This window comes from Homo sapiens, chromosome 3 (genome assembly GCF_000001405.40).
Source record: "Homo sapiens chromosome 3, GRCh38.p14 Primary Assembly".
NCBI classification, from domain to species: Eukaryota; Metazoa; Chordata; class Mammalia; order Primates; family Hominidae; genus Homo; species Homo sapiens.
The window spans coordinates 138034325-138057034 of NC_000003.12; the positions used below are offsets into that span (position 1 = coordinate 138034325).

General features: G+C 40.5%; 1 long non-coding RNA gene across 1 annotated transcript, besides 1 other annotated feature; it reads right to left on the reverse strand.

Moving 5' to 3' along the window:
- Positions 1-9948: 9948 nt before the first annotated feature.
- On the reverse strand, positions 9949-21436 carry LOC105374128 (uncharacterized). The gene is made up of 2 exons (XR_001740930.2): positions 20182-21436; positions 9949-15004 (listed from the first exon to the last, which is right to left on the reverse strand). It is a non-coding gene; the product is annotated as an uncharacterized LOC105374128 (long non-coding RNA).
- Positions 12699-13352: an enhancer, noted in NCBI's record as "NANOG hESC enhancer chr3:137765865-137766518 (GRCh37/hg19 assembly coordinates)". NCBI's record gives its function as "activates a minimal SCP1, AML or CMV promoter by ChIP-STARR-seq in naive H9 embryonic stem cells {active_cell/tissue: H9 hESC(naive)}" and the evidence as "EXISTENCE:reporter gene assay evidence [ECO:0000049][PMID:30033119]".
- Positions 21437-22710: the final 1274 nt, after the last annotated feature.

Genomic DNA, 22710 nt, shown 5'->3' on the forward strand with positions numbered 1-22710 from the left:
AAGGGTTATGATTAAGACTCTATTTTTCTCTGCCCATATCTCAGTTCTGCTGTCTTCTCTGTTGGTTTGCTTCTCAAGAAGATTGTGAGTTGTTGTGTTGGCTGCTTATATTTCTAGCCATAAAGCCATGTTTCAGCTATGGGAAACCTAGCCAAAGGGAGGCATCTCTTTCCTTCTATGCATAGGAGAAAAACCCTAACAAAATACATTAGATTATTTGAGTAATGTACCCATCCCTAAACCTCTTCCTATAGCCAGAGCAGTGGTATCTAGTTTGATGAAGCCTGGGTCCCCCAGTCAAAACATGGAGATTTGTCATATGCCATGAAGACTTGTATTCTGAGGAGCCGGGGTCCTTAGAAATCAGGTAAACTCATTGCTTTGCCTCATTTTTTTCTTCTTTTGGATGAAACTGAACTCCAGAGAAAGCTTCAGAGATATAACTTCTGAGCTTCTCTGACTAGTTACCAAACAGTATGTAGTACAGAAAGGAAGGATCTGAGAGATTACTCTGGTTCTCAAAGAAAGCTGATAATTAAAACCTAAAAATTAAAAAAAAAGACAAAAACAAAACACTTTACATTCAGTTTTAAACAAGTGAGATTACAAAAGTCATCAGTAGAAAACTGTCCTTGGTTATGTAATTTTGAGCTATTCAAATTTAAATTTTCTAAAATTTAGGGGCATTTTGAAGTCTCCTTGTACAAAGACAGAAATGGACTAACCAAGCCATGGAATACAGGCTCAAAATATGACTCAGCATTGTTACTCATAAAAATCCCTGGGAGTCCCCAGTTCTCTTACCTTTTACTTAGGTAGTATTCAGCCCTCTCCTGCCTCCACGGGACATTATCCAGGGTTGACTACTGCAACAGCCACAATTTTTGCCAAAATGCCTGATATCTCTGAGTTGATGTGTTCCACTGGAGAGAGCACTGGGCTTGGAATCAAAAACCTGGATTTCTGGTTCTGACTGCATTGCCAACCAATTATGTGACCTTCAGGATTGATTACAATGATTCACTAACATATTTTCATTATCTAACTTCTGTACTGAGTCCTCATAATAATCAGTACTGTGCCTAGTGCTTTATATACTTTAACCCTCCAACAACGCTGATCTCGCCCCACTAGTGGCCCAACACTCTAAATACTCAAGGATCACACACACACTCACGCTCATATATACACATTTACCACACAGTCGGTTCAATTTTCAGAGCCTCATCAGGGACCAACACTTCTTTGACTTTTCTAGCCTCAGAATGGCTTTTGAACAATTCCATTCCTTCAGCTAAAGTCAGGCTGATTTTTCATACTTCCCAACCCACAGCTAGAAAGGGAAGGGGGTATTCTCTTCATAATAGCCCAAATAAACGTGAAATGCGCATGTGAGGCCCTTAAGAGATGATGATAAGCAAAAAGTTTCTTGTGGTTTAATATTCACTATGTAAGATATTATAATATATTGTAGAGACAAAATGTCACTAAAATGCTTTAAATATGTCCAAATTCTATTCTGGAGTAAGGGTATTTAATTTAGATACCCCAAAATCATCTATCAGCGATGGTTTCTAGTATCCACACCACCACAATATTCAACACTAAATGCAGCTACTCCCTAATAACCAAATAAAATGAAATCTCAGTCACCCCTGCCACAGTGGGTAGCTAAAAGAAAGCATAGACTTCTTCTTCTTCAGAGAAACTTCAAGGAGTGGGTGGGTCCTACTTGCAGACCAAGGATCATACCAATTCCTTACATAGAAAACATTATATTTTGTCCTATCTTTTAACTTAGATTTTTAGGGTAACATAAAGGTAGAATTATATGTAATACGGAAGAAAGCTGGAAATATTTCTTCTTTAATCCAGCAATGCTCCTTCTTTAAATTTCTCCTAAGGAAATAATCATAAATACTTATGCTCAAAGGTATGTATCAATTGTTTAAAATAATGTAACTGGATCAACTTAAAAACCTAATGAGGGAAAGGTTTCTAATAGTCTTTATATATAAGTAAACTATTATATAGTCACTAACATTATTATATTTTTCTAACATTAATTCTATTAAACGGTGCATTGAAAAACACCCTGGTAAGAAATATATTCCAAAATATTTTAAGTAGTTGCTTTTGATTGGAGATATAATGATGATACTTTTTTCATTTGTACTTTACAGTAGTTTGCAAATTTTCTTCAATGAGAATAGCTTTATTTTATATCTAGAGAAAAAAAAACTAAAAACTGAAGAATTAAAAAATAGAAAACAACACCCAGACATGAAGTCCACAGGAGCAGATATAGCTCATTACCTGGAGACATGACCATCTCAGGCAGCTTGGAAGGAGGAAGTTATTAAGTCATGGCTGAGTAGAGTTCTCTGTTCACTCTGAACCAATAAATTAAAACGGTCATGAGCCCAGAAACTGATCTCACACTATTTTGCTTTAGCTTTTCTTCCCCTTTAGAGACTCTTTGGCAATTGGCAATCATTTCACCATTTACTCACCTCTGAAGACAGGAAAGCCGAGGCCCATACCTCTGTTGTGAACAAGGACCAGAAAGGAGAAATGACATGCTCAAGGCCTTTGCACAGGCATATCAGGGGAGCCAGAACAAAGACGAGAGTCCATACCAGGTTAGCCTCTTGCTTGCTCCACAAGAACACACAGACCTCATCTCCTCCCAACCACTGGCCTTCTCAGTATCCAACTCCTTTTCCTGACTAGAAGGGCCATCCAGAAAGAGCAGGATGGGCTTGCTTCAGGATGGGTGGCCTAATGTTGGCAGGTGGTCTGAGCCAACCAGATCCACCTGTGTGGGGAAATGTCCAGAACAGACCCTGAGTCCCCAGATATTTAACACCTGGAACTCATCAGACCTGCATCTGATAAGGAAGGGGCTCTGTATGAGCTATGCACAGAGCAGCCTATCTCTAAAGAAGACTTTTGGGTCCTTGATGAATTTTTCAAGGTTTCTAAAAGATAATCTCAACCATGTGTTATCACTGGATTCTACTCAGAGATGTTAGACATCAGGGAAAATTCAGCAGCTATTGTTTTTTAGTTGGACACAGCAAAGCTTCAGAAACCCAGTTACTTAGTCATTTTCTGTTTCTTATCACAGAATACCTGAAACTGGGTAATTTATAAAGAAATGAAATATATTTTTTACAATTCTGAAGGCTGGGAAGTCCAGGGTCAAGGGGCTGCATCTGGTGAGGCCCTTCTTGCTGATGGGGAGGGATCTCTGCAGAGTCCCAAAGGAGTTCAGGGCATCATGTGGTGAGGGAGCTAAATGTGCTAGCTCAAGTCTCTCTTCTTCTTCTTATAAAGCTACCAGTACCACTTCTGTGATAACCCACTAATCCATTAACTCACTGATCTCTTAATCTATGAATGGATTAATCTATTCATGAGAGTGAAGTTCTCATGACCCAATCACCTCTTAAAGGCCCCACTCCTCATTATTTCCACATTGGGAATTAGGTTTCAACATGAGTTTTGGAGGGGACAAACATTCAAACCATAATACCCAGGCTTACGTAAAAATGAAGAAAACAAAATAAACTTTTTCTCCTTGAAAAGACATTAGGAAAAAAGAGAAAAGCATTTATGGCAGAAAAAAATCTCTCTGAGCCATTAAAAAATACAGATGATTATTAATGTTAATATTGCTGTCATTATCATTATCATTATCGAGAATCTACAATGTCACAGACATAGTTTCAGGCCCTTTTCTTACACTATTTCCAACCCTCAAAATAGCCCCCATGAGACAGGTATTATTATCCCCAGCTCACAGGTGAAGAAACCAAGGCTCAGGGAGGCTAAGTATCTTGTCCAAGTAAGGTGACCAACCATCCCAGTTTGTCCAGGACTGTCCCAGGTTCAGCACTGAAAGTCCTGTGTTCCAGAAAACCACTCAGCCTGAACAAACCGGGACAGCTATGCCAAGTCTACATAGCTAATAAATAGAAAAGCGTGGATTCCAACCAGGTTTGTCTGACTCCACACCTCACTTTGTTTCCAATATGCCATAGAAAATCCCATTAAATGGGCAAAATAAATTCATAACTACATTTTTTTAAATGGAAGGAAGAAAAAAAGGGAGAGAGAGAGACAGAAAAGGAAGAAGAAAAACACAAATGAGAAAAATAAAGAAAGATAGGGAGAAACTCATATAAATCTAGTTTAAAGAAAAAAATATTTGCCAATGAAGCCAAGAAGCGTAATACTTAATTTATTGTAAATTTTTAATTTTTAACACTCAAATTTTAAATAATGCCCAATAAGAGCCTGTCTCTGTAACTAGTGCATAGACAGATGGCAGAGATGGGGGAGGACATTGGGCTACCCAGTACCTCAGCCTCTGCAAAGCTCTCAGTGGGTTCTGTGATGTATGTGCACTCTTAAGGGCTTCCAGGCTAAAGAGGACTCTGGTGTGATGCCACCCAGAAGGGAAAGGAAAGCCCCAGCACTCCCAAGGTGGACTGTCCGTAGGAGAAATACCTGTTCCCTCCAGTGGTGGCAGCTACACAAACATTACAAGGTTGGGTGTGGACCAGGGCTCACTTCATCCCAGCAGCCATCTTAGGCTAGAGCTTCCCCAGCAGCATCTGGGATCTGAGTCAGTTTCCATCAGCACTGAGAGGTTTCCCATTCCTTTCTCATCTCAAGTGGAACTAGATGTGACCTGCTCACTCTGGTTTCGAGTTTTTGACCAGTCCAAGCTTTCCCTGTTATCAAAGCTGCCGCCCTTAGCCCTTGTTGACAATGAAAAGCTTATTTATTTTGTTCGACAGGCCAACTTGAATTTCCCCAAAGAATGTTTTAAAAGGTAAAATATCAAACATATTAAGCATGTAGGACTTTGCCACCCATACTTATTGCCCAGAGGAGGGAGGTTGCCATGGCAATGCCTCTGGTAAGGAGGATGAAGTCTGGCTGAAGGGTGAATAAAGTATCACAGTGGGGCACAGGCTGCCCCACCAGGCAGCAAGCCCCTTATGATACTGGAAGTGTTTGCCCAAGTCTTAAGAATTAAGTCATAATTAAGAGAGAGAAAGAAAAACAAAAATGTCCAGCTGCAAAAAAAAAAAAAAAAAAAAAAAATGTTGAGGGGTGGAGGAGTCAGAATGTAGATAGAGATATTTTAAAAGTCAGCAGTGAATGAATGTGACTATGTCTTCCTATGACAGCTGGCAGAGCCCACCCACCAGTAGCTTTTGTGCAGACAGGCCACACCCCATCCATCTGCAGAAAGGTACAGCCAATGGAGCAGAGAGAACCCAATAAGGAATTCACTGGAGGGTTGGCATCAAATGACCTTCATGGCCTCTTTGGTAACACACCAAAACTCCACAGAAATTAACACAAAAACTAGGCAGGAGGAACTCAGCTTCCAGTATGGCTTAGTAAGCTCCCACCAGGCTAACCCTCCTGCAGATAACAAATATAAACTCTGTACAAAATACAAAAAGTAACTACTTGAAGCCACTAGAGGGTGAACAAAGACAGACATATTCTGAAGGGTAGCTGACATTTAAAAGAGAGGAAAGGTATAAAGCAAATTTCCGTTTTTGAGGCTTCTGGCCCAAGGACAAGCCAAAGTCAGGTGGCATGAAGTACCTAAAATCTGTTAGAAAATCTGCAGTTTTTCTGGCCTGAAGAACCATGAGACAGAGTTCAGGGCAACTATAGCCACTATAAGGTGAGCAAAGAGTCTTAGAAAAAAGAGACTCAGAGGGAGAAGATCCAAGTTTTCTATAAAAACCCCTCCCTGGGTCTCTAGTTAAATCCTAAGCCATGCAAGTATAGGGCTGACTACAAACAGCTGACTTAGGATCCAAAGCTGAATGGAGACTTGAGATGTCCCCAAGACACAAAGTTTGCTGTATGAGTAGAAGCAAATTAATTGTCTTCTCCAGCAAACAAAAAAAAAATCAATACTCTTTGGAAGACTATAATAGCATCTAGAGTCTCTGAAACATAATACTCACAATATCCAGGACGCAATCCAAAACTATCTGACATGTGCATGACGTGACCTATTTTTAAGAGAAAAGGTGATCAATGGAGACCTGACCCCAAGATAACCCAGATACTGGAATTAGCAGATGAGGATTTGTAAAGCAACTATTGTAACTATGCTCAAATACATAAAAGAAAATATGCTAATAATGACTAAAAAGACAAGAAATCTCACAGAGAAATAGAAACTATTCTTGAAAACAGAACTTCTGAAACTAAAAATACAAAATCTGAAATTTAAAAATGTATGAACTTAGCAAAGTGGAGATTACAGAGGAAATCATCAGTTAACTTGAAGATAGGTCATTAGAATTTATCCAAAAATAGAGAAAAAAAGTTTTAGCAAAAACAGAACCTCAGGTACTTGCAGGATAATATCAAAAGAGAAATAATTGAGGCCAGAAGACAGTGGTATTTTTAGGGGCTGACCGAAAAAAAAAATGTACAAATACACTTCAAGAATGAAGGCAAAATACAGTTTGCAGATAAAAGGAAACCATGAAGATTCATTGCCAGAAAATCTTCACTATAAAAAAAATGCTAAAAGAGTTCTTCAATCTGAGGGAAAATGATACTAGATGAAAACTAGGATCTGCAGGAAGACATAAAGAGCATCAGAAATAGACCTTGTTGAATAGGACACTGGATATCACTAGATGTAATGCAAGACTCAAAGCCTGAGAATTTGAGGCAGTCAGGCACTGCACCTCACCTTCCACCATCACAGCGGCTCTGGGCAGCTGTCAGCGTTCCTACTGCCTCACATAACTGGGAGTATGAATCCACCTGTAGAAACACATATTGCCGTATGTACAAAGAGGAAAGACAGTAGAATTAAGTAGGTAACAGCAATAGGTAAGTCTTGGCAGTCTCTAAACCCAATACTAAAGCAGGAAAATCTTAACTTTGTAAACTGAATTGAAAAAATACTTTTGAAAATGTTACTTTGTACATATTTAACGTAGAGGTGAAAAGTTTCAGGATGAGAATTCCCTCACAAGCGCCAGATCTCAAAGGCATCTCTCAGCGGGTCTCCAAATAAGCAAAGCCAGTACCAATGACAAAGAATTCATCAATGGTCATTCTCTGAATGTCTTGCCTCATACTAGGAGGTAATATCATCTAAAAAAAAAAGATGACTTTCACTTCATATTTCTCACCAACCTATCAGTTTGTTAGAGATTTGTTTTTATGTTTTGATCTTTTGATGTGTGGTAACATTGAATATTTTGTGTGATATGTGTGTCTCTTTGCTGTGTGTTTATGGATGAATTGAGTATTGGTAAGAATAAAGGAAATTTCATAATCCTTGGTTCTCAATCAGAATGAGCTAAAAAGTGAGAAATTTCTAGACTCCTGGAAGAATAACAGCAAAAAATATAATTTTATGCCCAGTACATCAAGTTGATTGACTTAAATATCTGCTAAAATAACTTTTTCACACTAGGATGGTAACAGGGAAACTGTGTGTATATATGAAAGTTGTAAAGAGATAAGATTTTAAAAGAAATGAAATTAAGACTACTCTGTTTGCATTTAATCACCTAAAACCTATTTTTTAAAAGGATTACAGAGTTATCAATTAGTCATCATCATTGATGGCAAATAGTTCAACTCTAGTCTCCCTTCAGGCATATTTTCCTCCAGGATGTGAAAGAAAAATCTTTTCCAAAGCAGCTGTCTTTAGGCCAGATTCTCCCAAGGAAATTATTATGGCCCCTGCAGTGGACAATTTAATCCCAGAGCAGCTAGTGAGGGTACGGTTTGCAGAGTAGGATGGGATAGACAATGAGTGTAAAGACACTGTTGTGAGATCCTGTAGCTGACTGCCCTTCAGTTCTTCTGCTCTGCCCTGATTCATGTTTCAATGGAATGGAAGCTCCAAAAACAGGCTGAACATGAGTCACCTCCACTTACGTGCAACCCCTTAACATTCTTTTTTTCTTCATAGAAGCTAGCTTTTCTTTCTGTGACAGTAGAACTGGCACTTCAGTTATTGTTCTCCAAATTGGGTTTCATACATTTAATATATTTTCAAGATTCAGTTGTATTCACTTAGTCAACAGATATGTATTAAATATCTATTTTACAAAAACATGAAGAAACTTTGCTATTAAAATATAACATCTATGAACCATGTAGCAAATTTTTTAAAAATTAAAGAAATAAAGGAAAAAAACTAGCCTGCAGTAGGTGAAACTGTTGAGTCCCATAGTAGGCACTCCTTATGGATGCATCCACACCCCAGGACATGCACGAGCTCCCCATACAAAAACACCTCTCACTAAAGATAAGCTCACTATCAAGAATTAGAAAGCATGTGGAAAAAAACCATGATGAGAAAACCACCCAATGTAATAACCAAGAGAAATCTCATTTCAATATCTATAGCTAATAGAAAAATCTAACAGAGACTGTAAAATAAGCATATGTAAAATGTCCAAAAAAATAAAGAATGGTGTGGTGGGGGGATGGAGGAACATGTGGGATTTTAAAATAAACAAAATAAAAATGCTGGAAATCTAAAATACAGTCACTCATACAAGAAACACTGATAAGTTAAACAGTGGACTAGACATAGCAATAGTGACTGAGGAGAGCAAGTCAAAGACCCAATACGAGAAGGAAAGAGATACGATGACTGAAAAGGTTTTGGAGACACAACACACAGGATGGGGAACTTCACAACATGCATTTAATTCAGGTTCCAAGAAAGGAGAATAGTCAGAATAAGGAGAGGAAATGTCTCTAGACTTGAAGACATACGTTCTAGTATTGAAAACACTCTGTCTCCTGAGAAGTATTAAACCATGCTTAGCTACACTCTAGTGAAAATGGAGAATATCAACAATAAAAAGAACATCTTAAAATAAGAAAAAAATATGTATTACATATCCATGGCAATGAGACTGACATCAGTACCAAAAAAATGACAGAAGACTTTGTAATCATTTCTTCGAAGATCAGAAGGAAAACAACTGTCAAGCTAGAATTTTACACCAAGCTAAATCATCATTCCAAAGTAAGGGCAAGATAAAGAGTAGCAACAGCAACTATGATCAAAGCCTTCATGGGACCAGCATAGAAAATACTGGAAATTCCAGCTGTCATCATGCTCCAAATGTGTAAGCCACTCAGGATTCTCCTAGCAAAAAGGGGTCAGACCTAAGGAACTGGATATCCTGTTGACCTTATTAGGTGGGGAATCCCATACAAATGTCACTGAGGATTCTATCCAGACACTCAAGAGCAGGTGGGCCTTGAATAGCAGTCATCATCTTAGTTTTAGTGTTATTTACCCATCTGAAATGGCTTCATTAGTTTGAGAACTGCAAAGATACATACACTGGGTGGGAAGAGGGCCCAGATTAAATGTAAGCTGTGCTCACCCTAAGATGCATACATCTATGAATACCCTGGTCAAGTATTTTCATATGCAAGGAACAGAAAACCCACTCCAAGATTCTGGCTGTCCCTGCCAAATGCTTACTCATCAACTAACAATGGTTGCCCCACCCAGATCCAATTCTGTGTGAACTTCTAATTCAAGCTTCTACTACTGCCTAAGCAGAGTCTATGTTTCTCTTAGTTTAAATTCTCTCGAGAGAAAATCTGATTGACCACTAGCCAATGAAATGTCTGCCGCCCCTCTCTGAAGAGAGATCCCCTCTCTCAAGAGTCCACCTCTGATCCAATCAGCTCTTTCCCTGTGGAGCAAGAACTGTTGGCTTGCCTACTCAACATCCATTCCACCATCACTATCACTTTTTTCTTATTAATATTGTAAATCAACCCCTCCCTCCTATGGCACTATCCTCGGCTCAAGGGGTATATTCTGATTTGCCTAAGTCATGGTGTCCCATTCCCCTTACAAGTGAGTGGTTTAGGGGATGGAGCACATGACCCAGTTTCTTTTCATTTTTTAAGTCTTTATTTTTTTAAAGCAGTTTAAGCTTACAGCAAAATTGAAAGGAAGGTACAGAGATTCCTCACATACACACAGGTGCATAGACTCTCCCATTTTCAACATCCCCCACAGAGTGGTACCTTTGTTACAACTGATGAACCTACATTGACACATCATTATCACCCAGAGTTGACAGGATTCGCTCTTGTTGCTATACATTCTATGGGTTTCAACAAATGTGTGATGACACATATCCACCATTGTAGTATCATACAGAGTGGCTTCATTGCCATAAAAATCTTCTATGTTCTACCTTTCCCCCAACCCCTGGCAACCACTGATCTTTTTACTGTCTCCGTAGTTTTGCCTTTTCCAGAATGTCATATAGGTGGGATCATACCGTATGTAGCCTTTTCAGACTAGCTACTTCCAGTTCGTAATATGCATTTACGATTTCTTCATGTCTTTTCTTGGCTTGATAACTCATTTCTCTTTAGTACTGAATAGCATTCCATTGTCTGGATGTACTACAATTATTTATCCATTCACCTACTGAAGGACATCTTGGTTGCTTCCAAGTTTTGGCAGCTAAGAACAAATCTGCTATAAACATCTGTGTGTGGGATTTTGTGTGGAGGTAAGTTTTCAGTTCCTTTGTGTAAATACCAAGGAGCATGATGGCTACATCATATGGCAAGATTATGGTGAGTTTTGTAAGAGCACATGACCCAGTTTTGACTAGTGGTTCAAAAAGGAAAGATTCCAGCATTTCTTCATTGAAGGGAAAACTTCTTCGCTTTTAATGAAGAGACAACAAAAGAGGCAGCTCCATCCTTGGAAACATACATACACACATGTGCACACCTTCTTCCTCCATCTAAGCATTCGCATGACTACATGTGATACACTGGAATACTGCAGCCCAAAGATGAACCAACATGGATGAAGGCAGAACAAAAGGAGCCTGGGGAAATAGAGCCAGAGCTCTACTTTATGTTCCTCACCTGACAACACCCCGCCTCTGAACTTTTCATAATGTGTGGTTTCTTTTTTTTTTTTTTTTTTTTGAGTCAGAGTCTCGCTCTGCCACCCAGGCCGGAGTGCAGTGGCGTGATCTCGGCTCACTGCAACCTCCACCTTCCGGGTTCAAGCCATTCTTCTGCCTCAGCTTCCCAAGCAGCTGGGAATACAGGCACATGCCACCACATGCAGCTAATTTTTGTATTTTTAGTAGAGACGGGGTTTCGCCATGTTGGCCAGGCTGCTCTCAAACTCCTGACCTCAGGTGATCCACTCACCTCGGCCTCCCAAAGTGCTGGGATTACAGGCATGAGCCACTGCGCCCGGCCTTATGTGTGGTAAGTTTCTTTATTGCTTAAGTCAATTTCAGTTGGGATTTACTATTACTTAAAGCCAATGCATCTGAATCAAAACATGGACACCCAGGCCAGGCCTCTATTAAAGATCATGTGTAGGTCCAACTCCCACAGAAATATCCACTGTATCATGTGGGTTTTGTGGACTTGGAAAACATAAGGAATGAGCAACGTCCTGGGAAGTCCCATCTCGTGAGAAGAAAAGTGAAAAAGAACAAGTTTGAGTAGGGATGAGGGATACTTCTATTGTCCTCTAAGCTAGTGTGCATAGATTCATGTCTGAGTTCCAGGGCATACACATTGCAAAAAGTAGTTTAAAAAATTTATATATATATGTGGCTATTTCACTAAAATCTCTGTGGTGTAGTGAAAGGTGCTAGTAGCTTTGGTGCCATGACCTGGCCATGTCAGGAGACCAAAGGAAGCTTCCTGAGGAGGGAGTTTTTGAATATCAGGTACTAAATGCACACAAAAGTGTTCCTTTTTGGAGCCAGGGACAACAAATTGTTTGATCTTAAATGCCAACTCAGGCCAATCCCAACTGACTATGCTGAGAAGGACTCAGGAATGGAAGATTATCATGATCAAGTGGCAATGCCTGTCATAGGACTGACTGGGAACCAGCAGTACACATGCCACATGTTTGCCCTCTTGAATTCCTTTCTGAGATGGACCCCGGCCAAACACTCCCTGCATCAGTGAAGACGCATTCACTCTAACACCCCATGTTACATATTCAAAAATCTTACATTTTATTTTCTCTACTCTTAAGCAAGGATATACATACAAAAGTGCACTGTCTCTAACCAATCTAATCGTTGTTGAATAATCCCCCAAACCCAGGAGCTGTTCTTGTCACATTTATTGTCCCTTGTGCTTCAGGGTACTTGACAATCCTCAACTACTGCTGTTCCTTGAAGAGCAACAGCACTCCACCTAGTAAATTTTACTTCAGAATGTTAGTACTATTGTTATTTTTAGCATTATTTTTGTCTGTCTGCCTCATCCTAAAGATTGTAACCATGAGTAGCTTTGACATGCTTCAAAACTTCTTTTGTTCTTCCAGGGAGCTTTTGGAGAGGGTCCCACTTCATGATGTCCGTATGAAACAAGGTCATGGAGAATCCTTTGAATTTACTTCCACAAATATTTCTTTGAGTACCTATTTTGTGCCAGGTGCCACAACATGTATAAAGATGAATAAGGAAGAAAAGAGAAGGATCATTTGTCGAGATTCTGGTCTGCTATGCAATGTGCTGATGCCATTCTGGGGACTTGGAAGCATTCATCTCATTCCATTCCCATAACTACCTCCCAAAGCATCTTTATCACAGTTACAGCTGAGGAAACTGAGGCTTGGGGAGGTTACCTGACTTGCCCAGTCATTCATCTAGTAGTTACTGGTGCTAGGATCTGAATCATGTCTGTCTGACTCAAAGCCCATGTTTCAATTCTCCTGACATGAGACCAATTGAGAAGTATGGTTCACAAGCTGGGGAGGGTGTCTTGGGAAATTTTGAGGCGGGGCACTTCCTAGCCCAGCGTGTGAAAGCAGGCCAGTTACTAACCTGTCTTAGCCTCAGCAGCCCAGTCAACAGAGGCCAATACCTACCTTGCAAGGTTGTTGTGAGGATTAAAGATAATGGGTAAAGCATCCAGCACACAGTATGTGGTCTATGAAGAATAGCTATGTTATTCAGAGCTACGTAAAAAATTACCATTTCTCAAAGAGGCAGGAGCTATTTTCTGATACAGTGAATTCTTGGAACTTGCAACGGGTGTGTATTATGAAATTTAGGATCTAAGCTAGCAAGACTTTGCTATACGGCTTTGAGAAGGTATATGGTTGTCGCAAAAATCTCAGGAGACTCTGCAAGATAAGAAAATCTCAAAGCAGAGGCAAGTTCAGAGACTTGCTTTCCTACTCCTGAATCTTCATTCAGCTGAGCTAATGGCCAGGAATGACAAGAGGACTCACCATTGTTTGAGCCTGCCTGTGAATTTGCATAAAATGTGATTTAAAACAAAAACATAACCAAGGATCTGGCCCCCAGGAATAGTCAAGGTATCTGCAGTGAGTAGAAGACTATTATTTATACTGCCTGGAATCCCACCACAAATCTTTACAGAAACGCACAAACTCACATTGGATCAGGCTTTTGTTGGTCTCCAGGGAATGCTGACTTTGTTTATTAATGCCACAACAAACGTGTCTCTGAATAAGGGAACTGACAGGACACCCGTCTCTGCATTGAAACCTGATTAAAAGCAAGTCCAGCCCCTTCTAGTCTCTCAGGAGTCTTCACAGTTTCTAAGCTGTCCTTTGTGAGTCAGTGATGTCGATGGCAGGAAAACTCCATCCTTGTTTCTTTGGGTGATAATCCACACATCACAGCATGAATACTCAAGCTCTCACACGAAGCAATGGTCTGCCTCCCAAATAGAAAGAAGGAGAGTTGCCTAAGTGGAAGGACTTGATAGGAGCTGAAAATGCAGCCCCATGACACCCAGTCCTCCTCTAATAAAGGTTTTTCCCTATCTCCTGTCACTGATGCTGCAAATTCTACTCTGGAGGCAGAGTGGCATCGGCAGGCAGCACTTCCTGAACCTTTCCATGAAAGGGACCCTTAAACACAGGGGAACTGTGGGGATAGTTGCACATTATGAATATACTGAAAACTACTGAATTGTATACCTTAACGTGCTGAAGTTATATTATATTAATTATATGTTAATAATGATAATAAATTTTTTAAAAATACATAGAGGAAATAGCCTATGTCCTTGCAAGGCCAGCAGGACCAGGACTCAAGTGGACAGCTCTAAGTATGAAGTATTGTGCATGTTGCATTCTGCTTCAAAATACATCTATATCTGTTGTAACTGTTTAAAGATAAAGTTATTTCCCAGTTAAAATGCTTAATTTTATCCCCTCAGATATTCAAATAAAATTGATACCCCAGGTGGACGTGCCTTAGATGGAGAACCCTGTGGCAGCACCACTCACTTGTGGCTTGAGAAACACAAAGGGGAGGTGGGCTTACCAGGGTGAGATCCCAAGGTGTGGATCCCAGAGTACGAATCCCACGATGTGCATCCTAGGGTATGGGTGCCTAAAATGGTGCTGAAGGTCTGACTTAGGGTGACTCTCACTCACATTTTTCACAGAATAAGTTCAGAACTCTGGGCTATCAAAAGCCCATTGTCACATGTGTGGACCCATGCATCCACTCTCACCCTTCCATGTTCTGTTCACAGTGCTGCCTCAGGTCTATGACATCCAATGGCAGCAGGCATCGTTCACCTTGTGCGTGCCCAACTCTGACTCCCAGGGCAGTCTCCCCACACCTCACGGGCTTCATGCCACATATGAAGCAGGCCTCTGGGGGTGGTCTCAGCCATAGCCTCCGAGAGCCTTCGAGACTGTTGCTCTGCAACACCAGTGGTCCCTTCCAACCAATGTCCTTTCTTGCCTCCAGCTGACATGGTGACATCATGCTCTCCAGCTTCAGTTTTAAGCCATGGTGGAAAATGTTTGGGCATGCCTTGCACAATGGACATATCTTGCTCTTCTCACTCCATCCACAGGCCTTTTGCCTAGCCGGCCTGCAGATGGCTGTGTGTGGAAGGCAGGGGTATGTCAACATTGAAAGAAATCACATTCTAGGAATGTGGGGGTTAAGGCCTAAAAAGTCAAAGAGAAGACATGATTGGTAGATGTGTCATGCTACATTTACATTATGAAATTTCAAATGGCAAATTTAACAAGACCAGAACATTATCATTCAGATTCTCTGCATACTCTGGGTAGGATTTGTATTTGGTCTCAACAACAAAGCACAGCAACAAGATTAGAGGGAGTTGCTGGAAGCCAACATCCACAGGAGGCTGACATGTGACTCAACATCGCAAGTAAGCAATGATGTCACCAGCATGACATGTGAAGCCCAAATGCACCTAGATCTACTAATCTGGGGGTCCTAGGTAAGGTGACGTTCCCTGCCGAAGGGCCCAGAGTGCCCCACATAGCAACAGAGCTGTCACCTGCACCCTCCGCGCTCATCCTCCCTGTGCTCTGTGATCTACTGCCCCCTGCAGACCTCCCTGGACACACCTCATCCCTCTCCTCTCTCAAGTCCAGACTACCATTTTCTGGCTTCTTCCAGGCCACCCTCAAACCACCATCTACGCCCACTGCAGATCTGCAAACACCCCCTGCCTCCGTCTCCCAGAACAGGGCTGCCTTCTCCTTCTAAGACCCAGTTCTGTCGCAGAGCTGTGTGGGCCCCTAATGATATAGCAGCGAACCCCATAATTCCTGAAGGGCTTTTTCAAAAGTCATTTTGTTTCTGCTATACATTAGCCACAAAAGAACTAATTCTAAAGCAAAAAAAAAAAAAAAAAAAGACAATTATGTGAAAAACGGCTCGGAACCATGAAATAGATGCTGATTATAAATATAGGCTTCAGGCATTATGAAATGAGGCAGCTCTAAATTTTCAAAGAACAAAGAAAAAGCAAGAGGATTTTCTAAATATCAAAAAGACTTTCAGGTTATAATTAGTAAATTGACTAACCTTTTTAAAGGTACAAGTAAATTTCTAAAGCCTGCAGCATTCATGGAATTATATATGCTGTAAGTCTAGGGGACTGACTCTGCCAGCCTCCTCACTTCACAGATGAGAAAACAAAAGGTTCCATGACTTTCCCAAGGTCATAAAACAAGTTTGTGGCTGCTAGAATTTTAATTGGAGCTCCTGTCCTCCATCTTCAGTTTCTTTCACCCATTCTACAATGGAAGCTACTTTCACAAATAGGCAACAACGTTCAGATTACTTGCATAAATATATGGAGATGGTGTTTGTGGAGGTGGTGGTAGTGATGGTGGTGGTGGTAAGAGGGTGGTAATAATGGTAATAGGGGTAGTAGAGGTGGTGGTAATAGCTGTGGTGGTGGAGGTGGAAGTGGTTGTGGTGGAGGTGGTGGTAGAGGTAGTGATGGTGGTAATGGAGTGATGGTAGTGATGGTGGTAGATGTGGAGGTGTTAGTGGTAGTGGTGGAGGTGGTTGTGGTAGTGGTGGTGGTTGTGGTGGTGGTAGAGGTAGTGATGGTGATAATGGAGTGATGGTAGTGATGGTGGTAGATGTGGAGGTGGAAGTGGTTGTGGTGGAGGTGGTGGTTGTGGTGGTGGTAGAGGTGGTGATGGTGGTAATGGAGTGATGGTAGTGATGGTGGTAGATGTGGAGGTGTTAGTGGTAGTGGTGGAGGTGGTTGTGGTAGTGGTGGTGGTTGTGGTGGTGGTAGAGGTAGTGATGGTGATAATGGAGTGATGGTAGTGATGGTGGTAGATGTGGAGGTGGAAGTGGTTGTGGTGGAGGTGGTGGTTGTGGTGGTGGTAGAGGTAGTGATGGTGGTAATGGAGTGATGGTAGTGATGGTGGTAGATGTGGAGGTGTTAGTGGTAGTGGTGGAGGTGGTGGTTGTGGTGGTGGTGGTGGTAGTGAAATGATGGTAGTGATGGTGGAGGTGGAGGTGGTAGTGGAGGTGATGGTGGTGGTAGAGGTGGTGATCGTGGTAATGGAGTGATGGTAGTGATGGTGGTGGTGGAGGTGGAGGTGGTAGTGGTGGAGGTGGTGGTTGTGGTGGTGGTAGAGGTGGTGATGGTGGTAGTGGAGTGATGGTAGTGATGGTGGTGGATGTGGAGGTGGAGGAGGTAGTGGTGGTGATGATGGTGGTGGAGGTGGAGGTGGTAGTGATGATGGCAGAGATAATGAAAATTGCAGTGGGGCCAGGCACAGTGGTGCACACCTATAATCCTAGCACCTTGGGAAGCTCAGATGGGAGGATTACTTGACCCCAGGAGTTCAAGACCAGCCTGGGCAACATAGGGAGACCCCCATCTCTATAAAAAATAAAAAGTTATCTGGATCTGTGGTCCCTGCTACTCAGGAGGCTGGGGCAGGAGGAGGATCTCTTGAGCCTGGGAGGTTGAGGCTGCAGTGAGCTGTGATTGCACTACCGCACTCTAGCCTGGGTAACAGAGCAAGACCCTGTTTCAAAAAAAAAAGGAAAGAAAAGAAAAGAAAGAAAGAAAATAAATAGTGGTGGTATGCATATGTGCTGGGAAGTTGAGGAGTGAGGAATAGTTCAAGGGCAGTTCAAGGGCATGTCAGCCAAAGCTCAGATTCAGTTAAGAGTGAATATATATAAGAAACTGGCAGAATGAGGAAAAGGATTCAGCCGGTATAGACAAATCAATTAGATGTATCCACAAACAAAATGACAGAAATGGTACAGCAGCTGAGGAAGCAACAGGGTCATAAGGACCTTTCAGTGTGGGATTGCCATGCATGCTGGATATTTCCAGGCTGCGGAAAAGCTCCTAATAGTGAGGCTCCTTGAGTGCAGGTACAGGTTGTGAAACCCATCAATATTTGTTGATTGCCTTTTCTGTGCAAGGACCTCAGCTGGGCCGTGGCAACACAAGGGTATGCAGGAAAGCAAGAGAGGCCATACCCTGTCCTGCTCCATTTTCTATCTTTAAATGTTGGGGGTTTTGTGTTTTGTTTTGTTTTTTAATCACGGGAGAGTTGCCTGGATGAATAAGACAATTCATCAAGTCCTGCCAAACCATGAGTGGTGGTGCAGGCTGGAGGAGCCCCACTTATTTCTTACAGTGAAGTTAGCCTGTCATTAAAAAGTGCCTGTGTAGCCATTCACTTTGTGGCCCACAGTGCCACCGTGTGGAAGGCACCTGTTGGCTGGACATGCACAAAATAAAACCGAAGCAGTGGCAGCTTTTAAACCAGCCCATCACCTTCACTCGGGGAACCCAAAGCACTCCCTCCATGTGACTATTATGCTCAATTTACCAAAGAAAAGGCCGTTGGATCTGTGGGTTCAATGAACCCTTAGTGATCAGCTATGTGGTCTAAGTTCTCACTGATCTCCTCTCTAAGATCCCTGATTGAGGTCAGAATCGCAGAATCAATGGGCACTTCTCTATTCTTTCATACCAATCATTTGATCCATTGCACTGATAGTTTATTGAGTACAAAATGCAGCTTCCTCTTCCACAAAAGCCTAACAATGGTCAGCTATTGCCAATGGAAGAACAATTCAGCTCATCCCATCTTTTCTGGATCAGGTCCTTATATTACCCCCGCCGCCCCCAAGCTTTACTTAAAGTCCTCTCTATCCCTTTGAAACATTTTTCTTTCTGGCTCCCTGCTTAGGTTAGCTCTTCTCGCTTGTCTTGTCATTAGGTGGAATAATACATGAAGACACTCCTGGCACAATTACTGCCTTGGAATTGGCCCAGTTCAGCTTATCAGATGATGAGTGTCTGCTATGGGCAGATGCAAGTGATATAAGCATCAGAGACACCTCCTTCCCAAAGAACTTAACACATGTTAGTGTCTCCACTGGCAGCTCTGTTTTCTGTCGACTATGCTAAACGTTGAGCCTGCATCTTTACATCCAGCAGGGAGATAGGCTTGCAACCTTTTGTAACAGACACAAGCATGAACACAGATGTAGAGAAGGCCACACAGGTGCAGGACAATTCCTTCCACATCCTTTCCACCTAAGCCTGGAGAGGACTTAGCGGACCTTCGCAGCTCCCCTCAGAAACTGGCAGTGAGGCCAAGCACGGTGGCTCACACCTGTAATCCCAGCACTTTGGGAGGCCGAGGCAGGTGGATCACCTGAAGTCAGGAGTTCGAGACCAGCCTGGCCAGCATGGTAAAACCCCATCTCTACTAAAAATACAAAAATTAACTGGGCATGGTGGCGCATGCCTGTAATCCTAGCTACTCAGGAGGCTGAGGCAGGAGAATCACTTGAACACAGGAGGCAGAAGTTGCAGTCAGCCGAGATCAGGCCACTGCACTCCAGCCTGTGCAACAGAGTGAGACTCCATCTCAAAAAAAAAAAAAAAAGAAAGAAAGAAAGAAAGAAGAAACTGGCAATGAGAGACACGGGGAAGAGAAGAAAAGTGCAGAATCACACTTGATGCTCTGTTGATTTTAGAGGTTACTTTACTTAGATTCCCTAAAAGCCTAGAATTTGGTTATAGCATGTGAGTCAGCTTATTATAAATATGTAATTCACTTTGGATTTTCTAAAGCTGAAAATGGTCTTCATCTTTATCTCAGTTACACACCACTACTAGGTTCCAGCCACAAGACCAGAGCATCTTCTACTTCCTAAATTGTGGGCTCAGGTTTTCAGGTGATAAAAACCTTTTTCAGGTTGTCACTATAAACCTATTATATATTTCCAATCAATGTTATCCCTATATGTATAAGTTCAGGACATTCTTCAGTTTACCTCAGAAAATATAGCTAATTAAATTTTCCCTTTTTATATTGAACCATGCAGTCATGGAAGGGAAGAGCTGGTATGGTCCAAAGACACAAACCAGTGCAGCAGCTCCCAAGTGCTAGGCTGTGGGCCAGAGCTGGTCCATTGCTAAATTTTCATTTGTCTAAGACAAAGTATGAGGCCAATTGTCCATTCTTGGAGAGTCTTATCTTCTTACTCTTCTGGTATTAAAGTGTCCTTTATAAAATGATGGTGATTGTTGCATACTTTATTTTATGTGCTGACTTGGCAAAATAAAAGTTAGCAACCTTGGATCAACTGCAAAACTTTTTGTTAACAGCCTATAGCACAATGCTACCTCACACTACCAGGGACTATACTCCTGCATTACAGAGAACTAGCCTAATGAGAATCCAGAACAGGAAGAATTGCGAGAAATGAGACTTTCTGCTTAGAAGTATTCAGAAGATGCCCACAACTAAGGTTCAAGACTCAACTTCAAAGAAGATTTCTAATTAGAATTCATGAAGGCACCTACCCATCAGAGCATTCCATGCGTTCATCCATATGTGGAGATTGGGATGGCCTCACAAGAATGTGATGTGATTTCAAATTTGAAAAATAGCCAATATAAAATTCTAAAAGAGAAAAATAATCAGAGTATCTGTGTCTTGCAAGATGGTAAAACATATGATAAAATTTCCATGACTAAGAATAGCTCACTGTTAGAACCAATAAATGGATTCAGCAAAGTTAAAGGATACAAAATCAACACACAAAAATCAGTTGCATTTCTATACATTAATAATGAACAATCTGAAAAAGAAATTAAGAAAACAATCCCACTTATAATAACATCAAAAAGAATAAGATAATAATACACCAAATCAAGCAAACAAAAGATTTGTACACTAAAAACTTCAAAACATTGCTGGAAAAAATTAAAGAAGACACCAATAAATGGAAACACATCATGTGATCATGGATTGAAAGACTTAGTATTGTTAAGATGTAAATACTACCCAAAATAATCTACAAATGTGATGCAATCTCTATCAAAATCCCAACATTTTTTGCAGGAATAGCAAAATCTATCCTAAAATTCATATGGAATCTCAAGGGACCCTGAATAGCCAAAACAATCTTGAAAAAGGAAAACAAAAGTGAAGGTCTCATGCTTCCTGATTTCAAAATTTATGACAAAGCTATAATAATCAAAATAGTGTAGTACTAGTATAAAGACAGACATGTAGACCCATGGAGTAGAATAGAGACCCCAGAAATAAAAATTGCATATATGGTCACATGATTTTCAACAAGGGTGTTAAGACCATTCAATGGGAAAAGGACAGTCTCTTCAACACATGGTGTTAGGAACACTTGATATCCATGTCCGGAATAGCGAAATTTGACCTCCCCCCTCCCCACCTTATAACATATACAAAATTTAACTGGATCAAAGACCTAAATATAAGACCTAAAGCTATAAAACTCTTGGAAGAAAAGATAGGGAGAAATATTCACAACATTGGATTTGGCAAGGATTTCTTGGAGATGACACCAAAACACAGGCAATAAAAGTAAAAATAGATAAACGTGACTACATAAAAATTGAAAATTCTGCATCAAAACACAAAATGAACAGAGTAAAAGGCAACCTATAAAATGAGAGAAAACCATTTGCAAATCATATCTAACCCCACAATATATAAAGCTCCTATAACTCAACAACAAAAAACCCAAATAACCCAATTTTAAAATAAGCAAAGGACTTGGATAAACATCTCTTCAAAGAAGATACACAAATGGCCAACAAGCATATAAAAAGATGCTCAACATCACAAATCATTAGGGAAATGCAAATCAAAACTGCAATGAGATATTATTTCACATCCATTAGGATGGCTGATATTTTTTTAAAAACAGAAAATAACAAGTGTCAGCAAAGATGGGGAGAAATAGGAACATTTGTGCATTGTCAGTGGGAAAATAAAATGGAAAACAGTATACAGGTTCCTGAAAAATAAAAAAATAGACTATATGATTACTATATGATCCAGTAATTCCACTCTGGGTATATATCCAAAAAAGTTAAAAATAGGATCCTGGAGAAATATTTGCACAGCTGTGTTTATAGCAGCACTGTTCACAATAGTCAAGATGTGGGAGCAACCCAAGTGTCAACAGACAAATGGATTCTTTAATGATATATATTCATACAATGGAATATTATTTAATCTTAAAAAGGAAATTGTGACACACACTGCAACATGGATAAACCTTGATGACATTATGCTAAGTGAAATAAGATAGTCACAAAAAGACAAATACTGTATGATACTACCATACATGGTACTTAGAGTAGTCAAAATCATAGAAATAGAAAGTAGAATGGTGGTTGCCTGCAACTGGGTGGGGGGAGATAGGGAATTGTTTAATGGGTATAAAGTTTCTGTTGGGGAAGACGAAAAATTCTGGAAATTGGTTGCACAAGAGTGTTCATATACTCAACACCACCGAACAATACAGTTAGAGGTGGTTAAGATGATAAATTTTATGGGTTATTTTACCACAATTAAAAATGAATTTTTAAAAACAAAACTGTGCAATACCAGAATAGTAACAGAATAGTCAGATTAATGAAATATACAGAAAGTCCAGGAATAGACTAACCACATACAATAATTTACATTTGATGAAGCAGGTATTTTTTAAGTGAAGAAAGGATGAATTGTCAAGTAATGCTGCTGAGATGACTGGCTAATTGTAAAAATAAAATAGATTCCTAACTTACTGCTAACACCCCTCAAAAAATCCGGATATATTAAATATTCAAAATTTTAAAACTTTTTAAACTAGTAAAAGAAAATATAGATGAACATGTAGAAGTCTTAGAATGGAAAAGACCTTCCTAATTATGACACCAAAAGCAGAAATTACAAAGTAAAACACTGATTAATTAGACAGCTACAACTTAAAATCTCTTTATAGCAAAGAACTCCATGAACATAATTAAAAGACAAATGATTGACTAGAAAGGAGAAAAAGTAACATATATAATAAAGGA